The sequence below is a fragment of the Homo sapiens genome, chromosome X, assembly GCF_000001405.40.
Source record: "Homo sapiens chromosome X, GRCh38.p14 Primary Assembly".
Taxonomy (NCBI): Eukaryota; Metazoa; Chordata; class Mammalia; order Primates; family Hominidae; genus Homo; species Homo sapiens.
This window is the reverse complement of record NC_000023.11, coordinates 28836814-28857143: the sequence shown is the minus strand read 5'-3', so window position 1 is coordinate 28857143 and position 20330 is coordinate 28836814. Positions and strand designations below refer to the sequence as shown.

Sequence of the window (20330 nt, the reverse complement as noted above, 5' to 3'; positions counted from 1 at the left end):
TGCTCTGGATTAGGCTTTGGCGTAAGGGAATGTTGTAGCCGGTTTGATTTTCTATCCAGATTACACAAGCTTTCTCCATTTCATCAATAAGGCTGTTTTGCTTTCTTAACATTTGTGTGTTCACTGAGTAGCATTTTTAATTTCTTCTAAGCACTTTTCTTTTGCATTCATAACTTGGCTGTTTGGCAAAAGAGGCCTAGATTTCACCTTATCTCAGCTTTCACCATGCTTTCTTCACTAAACTTAATCATTTCTAGCTTTTGATTTAAAGTGAGAGACCTGTTACTATTTCTTTCACTTGAACACATGGAAGACATTGTGGGATTATTAATTGACTTAATTTCAGTATTTTTGTGTCTTGGGGAGTAGGGAGGCCCAAGAAGAGGGAGAAAGATAGGGGAGTGGCTAGTCGATAGAGTGGTCAGAACACACACATTTATTAAGTTCCTATGTGGGCATGGTTTGTGGTGCCCCAAAACAATTTCATAATAACATCAAAGATTACTGATCACAGATCACCATGACAGACATAATCACAATGAAAAAGTATGAAATATTGTGAGAGTTACCAATGTGACACGGAGACACAAAGTGAGCAAATGCGTTGAAAAAATGGCATTGATAGACGTACTGTACAACAGGATTGACACAAACCTTCAATTTGTTAAAAATACAATATCTGCAAAGTACAATAAAGTAGAGCACAATAAAACACGGTGTATCTGTGTCAAAATAGTACTCTTGGAAAAAAAACTCCTTTGTTCCAAGTTTTAAGCAATTTGCTGTGGTTCCTGTTGAGTTTTAACAACATTTGCATAAGCTTCAAATTAACTCATTTTTATGACTTATCCTTGAGTAAACATTGAATTCTACCTGGAAGTTTATCGGGAGAACTCTCAGTCACATATTCTAACCCAGACAAACACAGATTTGCCTACATAGGTTCATTTCAACAGGAGTTCCTAATGTCTCAAAGTCATTGAAGGTCTCTTTGGATGCAGCTGCTATCTCCAAAGCACAGGTATTACATAATTTCACTTTTAAAGGTAGATTTAAAATAAACAATAATCTCACCATGATTATGAAGACCAAGAAACAGAACTTGAGTTTCTTCACTGCTAACAATTTATATGACCACTTGGAGATTTTGTATTAAATATTCTTTGACATAGAGACATTTGAAAGCCCCTAGAATTTATCCCAAAGAAACAAAGATATGGACTATATTGCAATTTCCAGAATTTACTGTAGAGTAGGATTTTTAAAAATCTCTTCCAATCTTACCTTATAATTAAGATTTTTCCTATTTGTATATCTGCTTGCTGATGTGAAAGAAACTTTTCAAAATGAAACTTAATAAAAAGGGCTCTCCAGACAAAGTCATTGGCAACTTTGTAGGCGTTAAGGCTCTAAACTAGAAAACTATGGTGCACTAGAAGTAAATGCATTATAATGAACTGTAAAGAAACTGAAACTAGAAACAACTAGAAATGACTGCAACAGATCAATAAGTGCATATAAGTTTTTTGTCTTTATTCAGAAAACATATTAATGAAACTAAAAGGTATTATTTCAACATCTCATGTACCCCATAAATATATTAATCTATGTACCCACAAAAATTAAAAATAAATTTAAAGGAAAAATAAAAGGTATTATTCCATTACTTCCCCCTTCTTTGGTGTACTGTAATATTTAATTTATTCATTAATTTATTTTCTTGGAATGATTATATGATCTTTTTTTTCTTTTCTAGCCATTATTAGTACTTATTTCCAAAACTAATGTTGCAGACAGGACGGAAGTAATTAAAAATGATACACTGGGCTGGGCACAGTGGCTCATGCCTGTAATCTTGGCACTTTGGGAGGCTAAGGCAGTAGATCACCTGAGGTCAGGAGTTCGAGACCAGCCTAGCCAACATGGCAAAACCCCATCTCTAGTAAAAATACAAAAATCAGCCAGGCATGGTGGTGCACACCTGTAATCCCAGCTACTTGGGAGGATAAAGCACGAGAATTACTTGAACTTGGGAGGCGGAAGTTGCAGTGAGCTGAGATCGCGCCACTGCACTCCAACCTGGGTGACAGAGTGAGACCCTGTCTCAAAAACAAACAAATAAACAAACAAAAAAGATGCTGTGCATGTCAAATATGCTAGGCACAACACTACAAGATAAGAGGATCTGAGACAACTTCATTCATTTGCTTAATACAACCATTTACTCTTGCTGACTCCAGTTACTCATGTCTGTCCCTTTTCAAGAACAATCATCAGATTTGTGTGCATTCTGTTCCCAGGAACTGGTCTTGCCAAGGTCACTGATGACCTCATTTTATTTAATCTCTCCATAGCACAACTCTATCTTTGATTTCCACAACACAGCTCTCTTATCCTGAGTTTTGTCTTACTTTCCTAACAATTCTCTTTCTCTCCCCTTCCCCTGCCCCAATTGTTCCTGCTCTTTAAATTGGATTCCTAGGATTTTGCGTTTGGTCTCTTCCCACTCCACACATTACTGGTGTGTCATCACATGCATTCCAGTGATTTTACCTACTAATTATTTGCTGAAATATATCTTTCTAGCCACATTCCCTGATCCCACCCTCCAACTCTGATATCTATGCCTAGACATCCCACAGGTTCCTTAAATACAGCATAATCAAACCTATATTTCACATCTTCCTAAACTTCACATCTTCCTAAATTTCACATCTTCCTAAATTTCACATCTATATTCTCTAAACCAAAAAACCTAGGGGTATCTTAGATTCCTTTCTCTCCTTCATCCTGAAGTCCAATTGATGATCAAATCCTGTTTATTCTTCCTCTTTTTATGCATTCCTCATTCCCCATCCCTATTGCTACTACTCATTTTCTCTCACCTGACATGCTGGTGTTTTCTTAATTTGTCTTTCCTCCTCTGGTCCTCTTCACTATATTCCTAGTGTGATCTTACTAAAGTATACATCCAATTGAATTGCCTTTATGTCTCTGGTTTCACACTACTCAATCTAGAAAATCAGTATTCCTTGGTAAGGTATATAATCTGACTCTGGTCTGACCATATCTCTTGTGATACCTCTGGGAAAGCCCAATGATTTACTTATTTCAAAATATTTGGAGTTCTCTGAGTGTTCCTCCATGTTTCACACTTCTATATCTTCTGTTTGTGCCCTTCCATTGCCTACTCAATGAAAACCTCACTATGATGATATTATCAAATTGTACCTTCTCTTTAAAACTTTCCTCATAACCACAGTCAGTAAAATTAAACACTCTCATCTTACAGAGTTTCTATGACAGTCCTTAACCACACTTTGAAACTTTTATACATCTTATAATTCTTTTTAAGCTATAAACTTCCCAAAGGCAGCTACCCTATCTTAATGATCTATATATCTGTAGGTAGTTGATAAGTGATTCCTGGATAAATAAATAAATCATATTTGTTTTGGCGTTATTTTTCTTTTACTGTTTATTTTCCTCATTTTGGTTATAAAGTAGCCCTACTTTATTTCCTCACACTAATATAGGCTAACAAACATACATTATGGCTGCCTTTATTTAAGAAATGTTTACTGAGAATCTGTACTGTAACAACATATTTTTGTTAGAAGCATGAGTGAGAGTGTGTGTGTGTGTGTGTGCGCGCGCACACACATGCACTGAGGGGATTGCAATGGGGAAACAGGATAAAAAGGTATAAAAACTTGGTCCGAAATCTTTGCTTATTAACCTTGGCCCTGCTCCTCACAATGTTTCTACACTTAATTCATAAGAGAGGTAGATAACTTCAATGGGGTTGGAAAAGGTCGTTTTCAAAGGTATATTTATTTCGACACCAATGATACCTACATTTTAGGCCCCCTTCACTAACCTGAGCTTTCCCCGTGGAAACTGCAGGCATTTATATTTATAATTTATTTTATGCAATTGCATTGAAGTTGCTGTAGACAGTCTGCATTCATAATTTTGTTTTCTCTTTTGTAAACTGCTCTGCTCATTTCCACCCCATGCTGTACAAAACTATTAGAACTTCAAGGATTTAGAAAATCCAGATCAATCCCATGCCTCTATTTTTAATGGTAGCTGTTATTTATTGAGCACTTCCTATGTGCCAAGCACTGTTCTGTGATTGGTTTGCATTTATGTCTATCTATATCAGGATATTGAGAAGCCCATAATAATAAAGAGTTCTCAGTGTACTAGATGGATTGTGCTAAATGCTATTTATACATCACTTTTTAGAAGTAAAAAAAAAAAGGAAAGCACAAAGAGATTAAGGAACTTGCCCCAAATCATACAGCAAATATCTGAAGGCGAGCATTCAGGCACCAATTCTGCATGCTTAACCATTACCCTGTAAAGCTTTGGCCGTAATTTACCCCTTCTGTGGATTCTGATGACTGCAAGTCCAATAAGAAAATGCCTTTCATTCTTTCAATATCTTATTAGAGACCTCATGCAGAATATCTCTTGGCAAATAACACACTGACTTACAATGAGGCACATGAGTTATTTCCATGTGTAAAAATTAAGAGGGTAGAAAAAGCAGTACCAAGAAAATGTAGAGTGGGATAAAATGCCAAAATGCAGGCTTTGCCAACTTAATTATATTAAGTAGTTTTCATCCTGAATGTTGAAAGAAGCAAATTATCAAGGTTAATATGGAAGTGAATCAAAGCTGCTGTGAGACAATACATAGACAGTACACCATAAAATACACAAATTTGTTATAATCTTCCAATTTAAGGCAATGCATTGCAAATATCAACATCTAACATTTAGCAAAAAAAAAAAAAGTTATGGATTAGGTTGCTCCTGGGAATAAAATATTTTAAGCTATTGTGAATACTATACATCATACTGTTTAAATAGCTTCATTTTTATAAATTGTCATGCTATTGTCTATTTTAAAATCTCTGGGTTTTCTTTGCAAAAGGTCTAAGTATCATTTACTTCTTGAATTTAGCTTCATTTCAAATTTTCCTTAGTGCTTCTCTGAAAATCCCTGTGTGCGTCCCTGTTCTCTGCTGTAAGGTAGCTGTGGCAATTCCAAAGGTCATGTGTAGCAACTGAGTGGAACAAAGTTACCACATACCTCCTATTGGCATTTTAAGCAGGTGTTGCTGGATAACTACATTCCCAGCCACCTCAGTGTGTCAAATTCAGGAAGATAATTTTCTTAAACTATAATAGAAATTTCACTGAGGCAATTTGTCTTCAATGCATGAGATATGATTGCTCAGCTATCCCCAGATTCTGTCTGAGAAATCAAGCAAATACATTTTCAAATAGTGGCTTTGATTATTTTGATCCTAAGTACAAAGCAATATGTTGATGGTGTCATTTGGGGGTTCCGTTTACATAAAACAAATTTATAATTGATGTGCCACTTTGTAGCCACCAGAGTTAATGGGCCTTTTAAGAACCTCTACTTAATAACAATAAAGTGACATTTTTACAAGAGTTAATGTTGGAAGAATTAATGCACCTCAGAGGCTGACCTTCAGCTGCTCCTTCGATGGTAACTACTGTACCATTTCATGCTCAGAGATTCTCCAGATTTAAAGTTGACATTATAAAATCAGCATTCTCAGATGTTTTTAATAAAATTGAAATATTAATTGTGGATGTATGGAGCAAGCTGTTAGTATGCCGATAATACTTTAATAAGGAAGGAATTTTCACCAAGATTTAGGTAATACTTAACCGCCAAAGTTCCCAAATAATTTGTATTGATATCCAGGTGTTAGAAATGATTGTTGATGAGTCACCATAACAACTCTGGGAGGCTATCCACAAGCAAAATTTCTATTTTTGCAAAATATGTGTGCAGTTAAGGAGTTAATAACTGCTGCCTCCTACAACCCTTCACAAGGATACATGCCAAAATGATATGCAGGGGGATGGTAAATGTCTCATTGTCTTGATCCTGGATAACAGGCACAACAAAACAAAGCACCACTCATTCTAAATAGCAGGGTGTCACGTCTTCCAAGGCAAGTGTGAGTCCTTAACTCCAGCCTGAGCCTCTGTTACAAAATTGCATAATAGGATCTAGTAGCCTGTGAAAGTGTTTTCCGACATATCAACATTGTAGTGGACCTAGTAAAGAGTCATCAAGTTGTCATGATTTGCTAAATGGGGTAAACAAACTACCTTTGACTGGCAGACACAGAAGAGACTATACTTTTCCATACTGGTTGGCGGAGTTCAAATTGAAAAGAAGTGAATGCTAGGTTCAACAACATAAATGAAGAGAATATTCAGACTTATTTAACAGCTTCCAAAAAAAAAAAAAAAACCATAGGGGTATATAAGTTTAGGACTACAGATCAGGTTTTTAAAACTTGTGGCCAAATACGAATAAGGGGCCCAAACATGAAATTATTTGGACAAAAGCATCTTTTTTGCATGTGGTAATCCAGGTTCTCCTCCTGGAAAAGCAGACACAAAGATAAGATTAGACAAACCCAAGAGTTATCAGAGGCAGGGTCAGAGAGGAACACCTATGAAAGAAAACAGGAGGAAGCCAGAGGAGGCCAAGAGACCGATCTCACCTCGATGTGGGTCTAACCTCTTTGAAGAATAGGGGGAAGAGAGGGAGGAAGGAAAACAAGCTTTACACTGTAGTGCAGTGTAAAGTTCATGGGGATTCTTGAGCTCACATTGCCATCAGTGGAGTTCCCACATCCCTCAGCAATGGGCCCGTTTTAGTACCCCTGCTGCTGCACTCTGTCACTGACTAGAAGCAGCTCCTAAGAAGAGTGGGGCCTCAGCACCAAAGCTGTGATGGATCCAGAAAGCAGCATCTCGAGCCCAGTACTCAGTTGTGTTTCTTGCGGTAGGAGATGTGAGAGGGCATTTTCGTGAGCATCACAATGCATTCAGCCAGTCACTATGCTTTTATAGGCATATTTTAATAAAATTTTAACAATATTTTAATAAAAATCTGAGCTCCAACTAGGTAAACAAACATGAGTGATTTTACTTCCAATTTGCAGAAATCAAATACTTATGGATAAATAAAAATTACTGTAGAAAATTCAGCTAAAATTAGCAAAGCTAAAATTAACAAAAGATTTCAATTGACCACAAAAACAGAAAATCACCCTAATTAATCAGTTCCATCAAATGTATTCCTCACTTGCAGACAGTAACTACCTTTAGTACACATAAGCACACGGTAGTTTTAAGACCTTAGTCCAATAAGGGAGTACTGGCATTAGTTGAATAAAGCCAGTAGAGCAAATCAGCAACACTGCTCAGATAATCAAAATGAAGATTCATAAGACAGGGACAAAGATAAACAGAAATGTGTCTAATACGCAGTATATAAGATGTGTTACTCACTATGCTATGGTTTTTAAAAAGGGGATAAAGATGAGCAAGAAAGACCACCTATGTACTAATGTAAGTATAAGACGAGAGTTCCATTTTGCTTTGATACTGCAGATTGTCAAAAGGGCTGGCTTAGGTTGGTTACATCTATGCACCCTGGTAAGACACAATCCAAGTTGTCTAATTAGATGTTCTTAGAAAAACTAATTTGTGAAGTCAGAGTCTTATATCGTTGTTTAATATGCTTTTTAAATGTCACTTTAAGTAGTAAAATATTTTTAAAAATCAGAATTAAAAAATAAGCTCAAGTGGGTACATGGCACTTTTAAAGTATCTTTCATATGATTTTCTAGGAAGAAGAACATCAGACCCACAGAAGTCCTTAGTAAAGATGTCATGTTATCCCAATAGGAATGTCTGACATCTTGATAATCTTGCAGCTTCTCGTGTAATCCAGAAGGAGGTAAAACTACAGTGAAGTGCATGTTCTCAGACTTGAATGGGTACACAGAGATGAAAATATAATTAATTCAATTGTACTTCTTTGAGATACTTCCAACACATTCAGCCAACAGAACAATGGTGATTTTTTCCCCTTTTCAGAAGTAGAGTCTTTTTGAAACATTCTGCTTTGAATACGGGGCTTTTTTTTTTTTTAATTGCCTTGTACTCCTTCTCCCTAGGATAGTAAACTCCAAGCTCTACATAGGTAAGTATAAAGGATTTTATAAAATGCAAAATGATAAAGTTTACAGAGAAAATTGCTAGGTTTTAGACAATAATACTATCAGCTTAGGGCTGAAAGAATCAGAGGTCTAAAGGTTTACAGACTCAGAATGAAAGCACATATAACACCTAGCTCTGAAAATTAGGTCATGTTAACAGAACTATTTGACTGCGCCGTTTGCATCTGAAAGTCCAATATTTGAGGAAATGTGACTATTTTAATAGCAGGCTTGTGTCAGCAGTTATAAAAATGAGGCCTGAAGCACTGAAAATAGTCTCCTTTCCTTGTTGTCTTCGTCCTTCTAATTATTCCAGATTGTGTTGGAATATCTGTCTTCTTCCTACACCTTACTTCTCACCCAGCAGTGGTCCCTAATTCAGAGCTAATCTGTAAAGGTCAAACCAAAGTTGGAAGCATCCCAAGAACCCATGATTATGCACCAATATTGCCGAGTAGCTAAAAGGTAGACAGCTTTTGGCTAGTGACAGATTTCTTTTTAATAAACAAGTTCACTGAGGGAAAAAATAAAATGATAAATCTGTTAAATATAGAAAACCCAAATTAAAAACAAAGGAGTTGTTGATTGCTTTCTCTCCTTTAAAATACACAGTTGAGAAAAAAAAAACCCTACAAGTACAGAATTCCCTAATATTTAGAATGTATAAAAAATAATTCATTCTGTCAATCAATACTTACTAAGCAGGGGACTTAATTTTTATTTCATTTTATTTATTTATTTATTTTACTTTAAGTTCTGGGATACATGTGCAGAACGTGCAGGTTTGTTACATAGGTATACATGTGCCATGGTGGCTTGCTGCATCTACCAACCTGTCATCTAGGTTTTAAGCCCTGCATGCATTAGGTATTTGTCCTAATGCTCTCCCTCCCCTTTCCCCCCATCCCCGACAGGTCCCAGTGTGTGATGTTCCCCTCCCTGTGTCCATGTGTTCTCATTGTTCAACTCCCATTTATGAGTGAGAACATGCAGTGTTTGGTTTTCTGTTTATGTGTTAGTTTGCTGAGAATGATGGTTTCCAGCTTCATCCAAGTCCCTGCAAAGGACGTGAACTCGTTCTTTTTATGGCTGCATAGTATTCTATGGTGTATATAAAGCAGGGCCTTTTGTAGGCATGCAGGATATAATAGTGAACAAAACAGACAAAACTCTCTCCTCATGGAGCTGACATCTGAAGTGAAGGGAGACAGACAATAAGAAATTATTTAAATATATATAAAAAGTCATTGGTGAAAAGAGTTAAGAAGTAGGTTGCAAGTTTAATCAGGTGGCTAGAGAAGGACTCACTAAGCAGAGGTGTTTGAGAAAAGACCTGAAGGAGCTGACTGTGACAGGCAGGGGAGCGGGAATGACTCATGAGATAGCTGTGTGGAAAGCATCCCAGGCAAAAGGAACAGCAAGTGCAAGGCACTGACGTGGGAGGGGGTGTGTCTGATGTAACAGAGGAGCCTTGTGCCCTGGAGTCGAGCAAACAAGGGGAAAACACTAATGGATATACTAAGAGGCATTGGGGAGCCAGATGTTTATGCATGAGAACCTTGTGAGCAACTGTGGGGACTTGGGATTTTATTCTGAGAGAGATAAAAGACCATTATAAGTAGAGGCTGAATAGAGAAGAATATCATACAATTGGTAAGTGAAGGAATCACGCTGGCTGCCATATTCAGAATAAAACAGTTAAAGGGAGCAAGGGAGAAAGCAGAGAAAACAGTAACAAGACTATTGAAATAAAACAGGTGAGAGACAAGGGGCACTGGGCTAAGATGCAGCAGGTGTGGTGAGAATTAGTCAAATTTTGAGTCCATTCAACTCTTCTTTTCAAGGAAGAGTTGAAAGAATTTGCTGATAGACTGGAGTGCATGAAAAAGAAGAGCTAAAAGGAATGAAGGTTATGGCATGATCATCTGAAAGGATAAAGTTACTACTGAGGAAGAATGTGAAGGGTCAGGTGTGGGAGAAAAAGTAAGGAATTTGTTTGGGGTCGCTAAGTGTGACATACCCATTTAGACAAAAAATAAAGATGTCAACTAAGCAGATTGATACATGTGTCTGGAGTTCAGGGGAGAGGTCCAGGTTGGTGATGAAAATTTGGGAATTGCCAGCATAAAAATGGTATTTAAAGCCATGATACTGGAAGAGATCTCCAAGGCAGTAAGTGCACAAAGCAAAGATGTCCAAGGACTGAGCCCTGGGGCCTTCTAATGTTTGGTAGCATACAGCTTTTCTGCATCTCATGACAAGAAGCATTCCATAGATGGTCTTAAAAGGATTCTGGATGAGATGATTGCTTAAAACGAAATATTGCAGAGTAAGTTTATACATTAAGTGGTGATTTTAACCAGATGCTATCTAACATTCCTTCCAATGCTATATGATTTTTGTGACTAAAAATGAAATCTTCAACAACAATGAGATATCACTACACACCTATTAGAATAGCCAAAATTCAGAACACTGACAACAAAATGCTGGCAAGAATACGGAGCAACAGGAACTTTTATTCACTGTAGTTTGGAATGCAAAATAGTACAGCCACACTAAAAGACAGTTTGGCAGTTTCTTACAAAACTGAACATGCTCTTACCATATGACTCAGTAGTCACACTCCTCGGAATTTACCCAAAGGAGTTGGAACTGTATTTTGACATAAAAACCCGCCCGTGAATATTTATAGCACCTTTATTCATAATTGCAAAAACTCAGATGCAACCAATATGTCTTTCAGTAGGTGAACACATAAATAAACCTGGGTACATCCCGACAATAGAATATTATTGAGTGCTAAAAATAAATCAGCTATCAAGTCATAAAAAGTCATGGAGGAAACTTAAATGCATATCACTAAGTTACAGAAGCCAATGTGAAAAGGTTACATACTGAGTGATTCCAACTATATGACATTCTGGAAAAGGCACAACTGTGGAGACAGGAAAATATCAGTATTTGCTAGGGGCTAGGCAGATGGAAAGATGAATAGGAGAACTAAAGAGGATTTTTAGGTCAGGGAAAATACATATGATACTATAATGGTGGATGCATTTGTCCCAAAGCATAGAATGTATAACACCAAGAGTGAATTCTAGTGAAAACTATGGACTTTAGGTGATAATGATGTGTCAACACAATAAGCTCATCCATTGTAACAAAGGCACCACTTTGGTGGGGGATGTTGATAATGAGAGAGGCTATGCATATGTAGGGGTAGAGGGTGTAAAATAAATCCCTGTACCTTCTTCTCAACTTTGTTGGGAACCTGAAACTGCTCTAAAAATAATCTTTAAGAAAATAAAATCTTTTTAACTTCATAAAATTCTAATATATGAATATGTGTTATAAGTATACAATAGAATCCCCTGATTTATTTATACTTTATATGAGGATTGACCTTGTATTGTTCAGATGAAATGCTACAGTCAAAAATGTGTTACTTGTCTGTGAAAGTCAAGCACTCAGTTGATGTTTCAACAAGCTGCCATTAGATTCAAATCAATGATTTAAACATAAATGTATATTATTTAGACTAAAAATACCCTGGGCCCTATTGGTTAAATCCTGAGTTGACCAGATATAGAGGTACAGAATAGTTTCCTTTAATCTGACATAGCTAGATTATTTTAAATCATATAAGGAGAGATTTTATATCATTGATTATTTTGATAAATTTTTTTAATACGTACAATTAAAGTAATGTGTGTTGAATATATAAAAAATGAGAATTTCAGAAAAATCTAACAATATTTAATACCATACATACATATCAATTTCAATATGGCTTGTTTATCTTGGACTATATATATTTTGTTTTTGTTTGCATAATCCCTAAGCTATGTAAACCCTGGGGAAAAATGTCTAATAAACAAGACCCTACATCATTCCTCCTGCATGGGCTATGATTCTTTACTTTTGTAATGCACTTATAATAACATGACAAATCGTATCTTTTACTTCCACCTCCACTCTGGTTGTCTTTGGAATTAAATTCACCAGAGAAGCCTTCTGAAAAGGTGTGATATTTCACCTGTCATGTATACATCAATAGAACATCTTTTCTTGGCACTTGCTTTCAAAATCACTCAAGATATAGGTAATCTTAAAACAAGAATCAAAGCTTTTTCAAGAACTGTGACACAAAAGACTCAATACTGAATGCTATCAAACTGTACACAATGCCAGTAAGACAATATCAATAAGAACTGCATTTCTCTTTTCTAAAGGAAACACCATATCTCAATCAAGTAACATGTTCTTTCCTCATTGTAGCTAGTTTAAGTCACATTTTCAACCATAAAAATATAGAGACAAATACTTTGTTTCTATTAAAGAGATTCTTGTCTTTTATGTCAAGAGACATAAAGAGTCACAGAAAACTTCAGCGAAGTCCATTAATGTCATATCTTCCAGAGGACTTATTACATCTTCTTAGAGGAATAACAATACAGAGGTATTAAATAACCATATTTTAAAGTAAGACATGAGTACCCACAACAGCTAACCCAGACCTATGAGGAAACCTAGCCAAGATTAGGGGATTTCTTGTTCTACAATGGCCTCGCTCATGTCTGATGATTGGCCACCTGTCGAATGGGGTGAGTAAAACGTTAAGTCTTTCATCATCTGTTGATAGCAGGGTTCCAAGAGAATAAATGGAAGCATTCAAGGTCTCCTAAGGTCTAAACCTAGAAATGGCATGATGTCAATCTTACCACATTGTATTTGTCAAGGCAAATTACCAAGGTCACATGGCATTCAAAAGGTGGGAACGTAAACCCCCACCAAATTTGAATTTCAAATTCAAATTTGGTGGGGGTTTACGTTCCGTTCCCACCTTTTTTGGGAACTTTGGTGGGAATTTGGTGGGAAATTTGAATTTCCGACCATATGAATTTCCAAGGTCATATGCCATTCAAAAAGGGGGAGCTTAAACTCCACCTCTTGGTGGGAGAAAATGAAAAGATATCACAAATGGATGTGGGTGGGGGCATTTACTAAGGCTGGAGAGAGGGGAAGTGTTAGGAGATGAGCTCAAAGAGCTAGGCAGCAGGGAGCTCAATAGCGAAAGCAGGGAGATCAGTTAAGAGGCTATTGAAACAATAAGGCAGAGAATGCAGACTATTGATTTTCAAGTAGCAAACTCCCAATACACACTGCCTGACAAAAATTTCATCTTAATGAGCAAGCACCTGAAACTCAAATAAGGCATGCCTTACAAACGCACTGCTCTGAATATCCTGTGTGTTCATGTTCTAATCCCCTTGTTCTTGCCACCAAGCAAAGTTAAGGTTTTTGTTTCTTCACAAATCAAGATATAAAAAATAAACTACATAAAATTTGAATCTGTAGCAACTCTTACAGTCAATTTTCAATTTGTATAACATGCTATTTAGACTTCAAAGATGCATACAAATTTGAAATATTGTTTTTACAAAATCCAAAGATTCATTTTATCCAAAATATCCACAATAAATGATGCACTAAAGCATCAATCCAGAGACAAGGGAATTAACAATTGAAATAATAATTGAGACATAGTAAATTGTTTATAATTATGGAAGCCATACCCTGGACATCTTGCACATATAGCAGCAACATGCTTTAATGGATGGTACCTGGGGCATTTTCTTTGTAGATTCACCTATCTTTTACGTTCAGCTCATTAATTATATGAGAAAATGATCCCGACTAGCTAGGGATTATCTTACACATTTTTTCTTTATGGTATAGAAATTAAGCCAAGCCCTTTAAGACAATTTTTATAAGACAGAAAATAAATAAATTTGTAGATTCACCTATCTTTTACGTTCAGCTCATTAATTATATAAGAAAATGATCCCGATAGCGAGGGATTATCTTACACATTTTTTCTTTATGGTATAGAAATTAAGCCAAGCCCTTTAAGATAATTTTTATAAGACAGAAATAAATAAATAGATGCTGCATAACTAATCCCCAGACTCTTAATATTTAACAGAAAAAAAGGGAAATTTTATTTCAACTTTATCCATAAATATAAGACACGAAATTGCTTGAGCTAAAAAAAAAAATGGGTAAATAAAATGGTCTATAACTTGCTTGCATTTCTAGTATCCATGTCTTTATCATTTCAACGTTTTCTCCCTGTGATTCAGAATTGATCTTGAGAGGTCATCATGAACACACCAGAATCTTGAAACAGAGCCATACTTATTCTGTATGAGGCAAAAAGCAGGAAAACAAATCCCATTTTAAAAGTTTAATGGAACAATATTTTATAACTTGCTTTGGAAACTTATCCCAGTAATCTTCATTACCACCAAATAAATAGACTTACTCATTTTCTATCAATTCATACTGCCAAGCTTTTATTAAGTAAAAGATATCAGTTTTATAATACAGCAAATTTAATCCACAATTTCATTCCTTCAACGAATATTGACAAAGTGTCCACAACATGCAAAGCTCCTCAATATGTACAGATTAAAAGTAATTGTCTTGTGTGATAATTAGGGGATAGGAGAATGGAACATTTGCTGAATGTCTGCCATGTATTAGGCTGTTTTGAGGTGCATTTTGAATTCTCACAGGCACCCCAGGAGATTCAACAGTTAAGGAATTTGGCCGAGGTCAAAGAAAAGATGTTTAGCGAAAATGTGGCAGAGATTAAAGAACAGAACTCTCTAATATCAAACTTTTTCCACAGAACTATATTTTTTATACAGGTTGAATCGTTCATAAAATACAAGTAATAGAAGTTATTTTTACATAGCCATATTTTAAAACTATTTTTTTTTTGAAATTTATATCGTAACATACCCTCCCAACTCTGGTTACTTCAGCTGTAGGCTCCACTCTAGCCAGGTCCTTCAAATAACATAATCATAACATATTTATCCTTGAAGTACATGCATAGGTAAACATTTTAGGTTCCAAATTATGGCTAGAAAGGTTCTAAAATGTTCATAAGTATTGATAAATATCATGGGAGAGGTGACAAACCAGGGTAAGCCACTAAGGGACCACTAGCTGAGAAAGATTTAAGAAATCAATTCATCATGTTTTTCCCTACATAATGCACTTTTGAGTCCTACTACCAGTGTAGCTCACTGGCATGTCTAGAACTCAGAATTTAGATAAATCAGATTATCATACCATTGTACATTATTTTATTTCCATATTCATAAGAATCTCTACTTAAAATATATAGCTAAATTTAAAAGTGTCTAAAGTCAAATATATGTGACCATGTAATCATAATTTTAACTCTTAAATAATCTATAAGCCAGTCCTGGATAAAATACACCATACAGAAACCAATGATTCCAGACTTGGCCTTTTGTTTGTTATAGAAAAAAAAATGTGTTTTATTTGATTTATCTCAAACTACCACTTACCAGGTTTTATTCTGGTGTATTCCAAAATCACTCCCCAAGCAATTATGATGTGTACCAAAGGTGCAAATCATGGCTTATATGATGATTATCAATTTCATTGCAATTTCTCTCTTTTTAAATTTATATTAAAATAGAGGGGTTGTGAGCATAAGACTTTTCTCTGTTTATAAATCAATTTTAGGCAATGTATTCTTAGTAATGTTCTGTAATGTTAAAAATATGTATCATTTTACCTTGTTTTTCTTCTACTAACTTTATTTGTGCACTAAAAAGCTTTTGCTATTATCTCTAAAATGTGTCTGTGTGCTTTCTAATTTTAGATATGTAATATGTTATTCTTGGTATCTGTTTAGTCTTTGAGTTGAATTTTTCTTATGTAAATTATTCTAAGTTATGCATTATGGTATAAGATTTATAAGAAGTTCTGAATCTCCTAGTCATAAAAGACTTTGTGGTGAACATAATAAGTGTAAATTTGTCTACTGGTAGACTACTGGAATATTAAGTATTGCATACTTTGCTAAAATAAAAAATGGAAAAGACATTTCAAAAAGATTTATAGTTTTCCTTCAAGCTTAGTATATTAGAATATTCAAAGAGTCACATTTTGACAAACATTGACACTATTTTTCATATTATATTGAAAAAAATATTTTCCTCTGAAATTCTCTGCTGGAATTTAAGGTTTAATATTCAGTATGTCTATTGTCGTACTGAAATAGAATTGTTCATAAACAGGACTATTTTACAAGACCACATATAAAACATATTTCCATTGGAAATTAGGTTCCATACTTGTTGCTGTTAAGATGATTTGGAGGATATAACCTAAGGTTTCCCCACAGCTCCAGTTACTACTGTATCTGTCTCATTCTAGCTTCCAGGGGTTCTAGTCTCAGTGATTCTGACTCCATTGGGAAGTACAACTTAGACACGGAAGCTTAAGTCTTTTAAGACATAGAATAAAGAGATAAAGTCCAACCATCTTATAACTCATATTCAGAAAATGAGTATAGAAATATATACTTATTATTAAGTTAAATTTAGTTTAAATACTTTTATCCACAAAAAATATTTAAATGTAAAATTAAATCAATTAAATTAATTGTACATGTTTAAATAACTAAAATAGTATAATTACATTGTTTGTAATACAAAGGATAAATGCTTGAGGTGATAGATACCCCATTTACCCTGATGTAATTATTATGCATTGCATGCCTATATCAAAATATTTCACATAACCCATAAATATATGCACCTACTATGGACTCACAAAAAATAAGATTTAAAAACAGGATATATATTTTAAATCCTTTTAAAGTTTTAGTGTTAAAAAATGTGCTTGCTGGTGAAATCTGAATAAGGTCTATATTAAGGTAACAGTATTGTGCCAATGTCAATTTTCTGATTTTGTTCATGTACTACGGTTATACGAAATGCCACTATCAGAGGAAGATGGGTGAACTCTAGTATTTTTGCAAATTCTTTAAGTATATATTTCAAAATAATGAGTTTAAAAATGTGTTTTGTGATATTTACTCCTATATAAAGTGCCTGTTTCCATTGCTTTAGAATTCTATTCCCATGAGTCATCTTCAGGTGACAAATAACGAGGCTCCAATGTCCAATATCGTTTTGGTACACTCTAAGAGACGCAACTAGCACTTCTTACTTGGTGTAGTATTTTTTTCTTCTCTCTCAAAGCAAAATACTTATGCTCAAATATTTAACAGTTTTAAACTCTACTATATATTCTAAAATGCCACTTTACTTACTTGTTCTTTTCTGATTTTTTTTATTAACAGAGGTAACTGATGTCATGATTTCTTCCTTATATTTTCCTAATGAATGAATTCCCTCCAACTCTCTTTGGGTGTCAGGCTTACATCCTGAGTTTCCTTTATCAAGACAAGTTGTTGAAATATGCAATGTAAAAACTTAAACAAATTATTTCCCATTTAAATAGTCATAAATTTTTTAAAAATATGTACTGATAATAGTTGCTATCTATTTTTCATCATCATGATGGATTAATCCTTGATGTTTAGATGTGGCTTGTAGCTCTCACTGTCAACATGCATTTGCTCAATGCCTTGAACACTAGCTGTTCAATAGACATTTTATTTAAAAATTTGGTATCACATATAATTAAAAGTAATTATTATTTTAAAATATCATTTCAAAATAGTGTCCAATTACTTATATTTTGTTTCACTAAACAAATGATGCTTTATAGTCATATTTTAAAGTCCATCTAAATCATGAAATACATTTCATTAATTTTAATTATCAACAGATTTATAAAATTATAAATATAAGAAAAAACATAGGTAATATTAATTTTACTTCTAAGCATATTTTGCTTAGGATACAGTAAATTCTGTCCACCACAGTTTGGTATAGGTTCTAGCATCAAGAAGGTCAAATTTCAATGTTAGAGATATTACTAAAATTCTGGAAAATTTATAACCTGAAATTTGCATTTACCAAAAACATTATAACTCATTTGCACTGTTTCATCGTTTTAAACTTTAAGCACATATAAAAATTCCAAGTGTTCGCACAGAATAACACAATAGAACGAAGTTCTAATTTGAGTTCTAACTCAAGTTCTTTTTCCTCACCTTTATAATCAATGTGTTCACATGGTTTATTTCAAAGCTTCTGTTTAAATGCAGGATTATGTAGTGCCATAGGAGCTGGAGACATGAAGTCCTTCTGAAGCAAGCTCCAATCATTTGAAATTTTTATAAATTTACTCTCAAAATTAATGTGCGTATTTCAGTGTGCATGTGTCAGAGACACCATTACAATTAGGAATTCCCCTAGTAAACTTCCAAGTAGAATTCAATGTTTATTCAAGCATATAATAAATATGGGTTAATTTAATGCTTATACATATATTATTAAATACTGATTATAACAGCAGATACTATTTAGAATTTAGATTATAAAGTATTTTTTTCAAGGAGGAATAGTTTATCACTGGTATTGTTTGCAATTGCCAGGTCATGGTGATAACAAAAAAAAGGAAGACAAAAACCCGAGTTTGTTTTAATATTACTTTTAATTTCTTTAGCAGAAAAACATTTCCTTTTATTGCCTTCACCAAGACTCCTTTTACCCAGCCTTGGTACTATATGGTGTACTGACCCATATGTTCTTCCCTAACAGGACCACACTCATTTCTCTTTTCTGCATCTTTGTTTCGTCTATTTCTTGTTTGGGGAATACTAACCCCTTTTACTTCCGGTTATTTCCAGCTGTCAAAATCTGGTACCTCATTTTTGTTCAAGTTGTTCAAATAATATAAGCCAAAGCTTAGATTCTGTGTAGTGTTGTGGAAAGTATACTGGCCAGGGAATTACAAGACCTAATTTTTAGTACTTACTGTCAAAAGAATATACTCCATTACTTACCAGATGTGCAAGCCCTCTGGCTCTCAGATTCTAGAACTCTCAAATGAGGGGTTTAGACGGGATGGATTCTAAGACTCCTTCCAGTTTTTCAAAAACTGAAGTTCTGTGATACAGTTTCCATCCCTAAAATATTTCTTTCTCCTTATTTCCACATAGCAACTAACGTTCTTCCTAGAGTGATTCCAGGGCATTTGTTTCTCGTGCTAAAGTAGAGCTAACCACATGAATCCATGAACACTCAAAGATACATAATCTACACTTAGTGATTTGGTGAAGATAATAACACCTAGGAAAACGTAAGGTCAAGGAAGTCACAGTATGGGGAGAACATTTTATTGTGTGGAGGAAATTTGAACTGGGATGAAAACAATGGCAGAGTTTGCAAGGGGTAAGAGATGGGGCTTGGAGAAAAATGATGGTATGTGGTATTGCTATGTGGGTGAGGGAAGGGTGGTGGTAGACAGGAATATTGAAGAGGGAGATAAGGAAAAGATGGGACCGTGGTGGGCTTGACACTTGGTAAACCAGAGGCCTGGTAATCAAAATAAGTCTCAAAAAAAAAAAAAAAAAAAAAAAAAAGAAGTGGAATGAGTACCTAGTAACTGTGGTAGCACCTCTGTAAGAGAATAGCACCTCATGATCCAGAAGCCTCTCCTGCTTCTCCTGGGAATTATCATCTCTTGCCCTGTTGCTTATGAGGAACAGGGCATGAAAACACAGGAACGGTATTGCCCATCTATCTTTTTGTCTCATGTGTAACACTCTAATCAATCATTTCCGCTATTCCCAAACTACATTTTATTTTTTCTAAATAGAGACAAACGTTCCTGAAAAACATGAACATCTTTTTACAGAATTATAAGTAGGCCTTTTGCTACACTGAAGGCCCCTTTTATAAAAGCCAAGGCTTCAAAAATGAGGAGTGTCAGCCAGTCTCTCCTTCTAGCTCATCCTTAAGAAGAGATTTGGAAGTAGGTTAAAAGACTGTAACACATAGCAAAATGCAGTTGCACACCAAAATTCTCATAAATAAATGAGTTCTCTGACTTCAGCTTTTAGACCTATTAAATAGCAAAACAATGATATTAAGTATGTGAGGTAATGCCTATATTAGTGTGATTTAACCATTCCACAATGTATACGCATATCAAAACATGATATTTAATGCCATAAATATATATAAGTTTTGTCACTTAAAAATAAAGAGAAAAGAATATCAATACTTATTCTTTTAAATCTTTATCTTCCACTCCCATCCTCGGCTCCCTCTTTCTTGGTCTCTCGTTTTTTTTCAAGGTGCCAACCACAGGCAAAATTGGTTTTAAAAAACCCAGATTTTTTGCCATGCTGAGTTTTGAGTAACATACTGTCATTCAGTAAGACAGGCAAGAAACCTAAGAACAGTAGAAATGAGATGAGATGCCAGGTAATCAACCTTTGTGTCATGA

The 20330-nt window shown here is 34.9% G+C and overlaps 1 protein-coding gene across 2 annotated transcripts in view, besides 1 other annotated feature; it reads right to left on the bottom strand.

Moving 5' to 3' along the window:
- The window catches only part of IL1RAPL1 (interleukin 1 receptor accessory protein like 1), a 1369273-nt gene that overhangs the window by 1099575 nt on the left and 249368 nt on the right, over positions 1–20330 (bottom strand). The gene's annotated exons all lie outside the window — the stretch shown is intronic.
- Positions 12881–13433: an enhancer, noted in NCBI's record as "OCT4-NANOG hESC enhancer chrX:28861828-28862380 (GRCh37/hg19 assembly coordinates)". NCBI's record gives its function as "activates a minimal SCP1, AML or CMV promoter by ChIP-STARR-seq in naive H9 embryonic stem cells {active_cell/tissue: H9 hESC(naive)}" and the evidence as "EXISTENCE:reporter gene assay evidence [ECO:0000049][PMID:30033119]".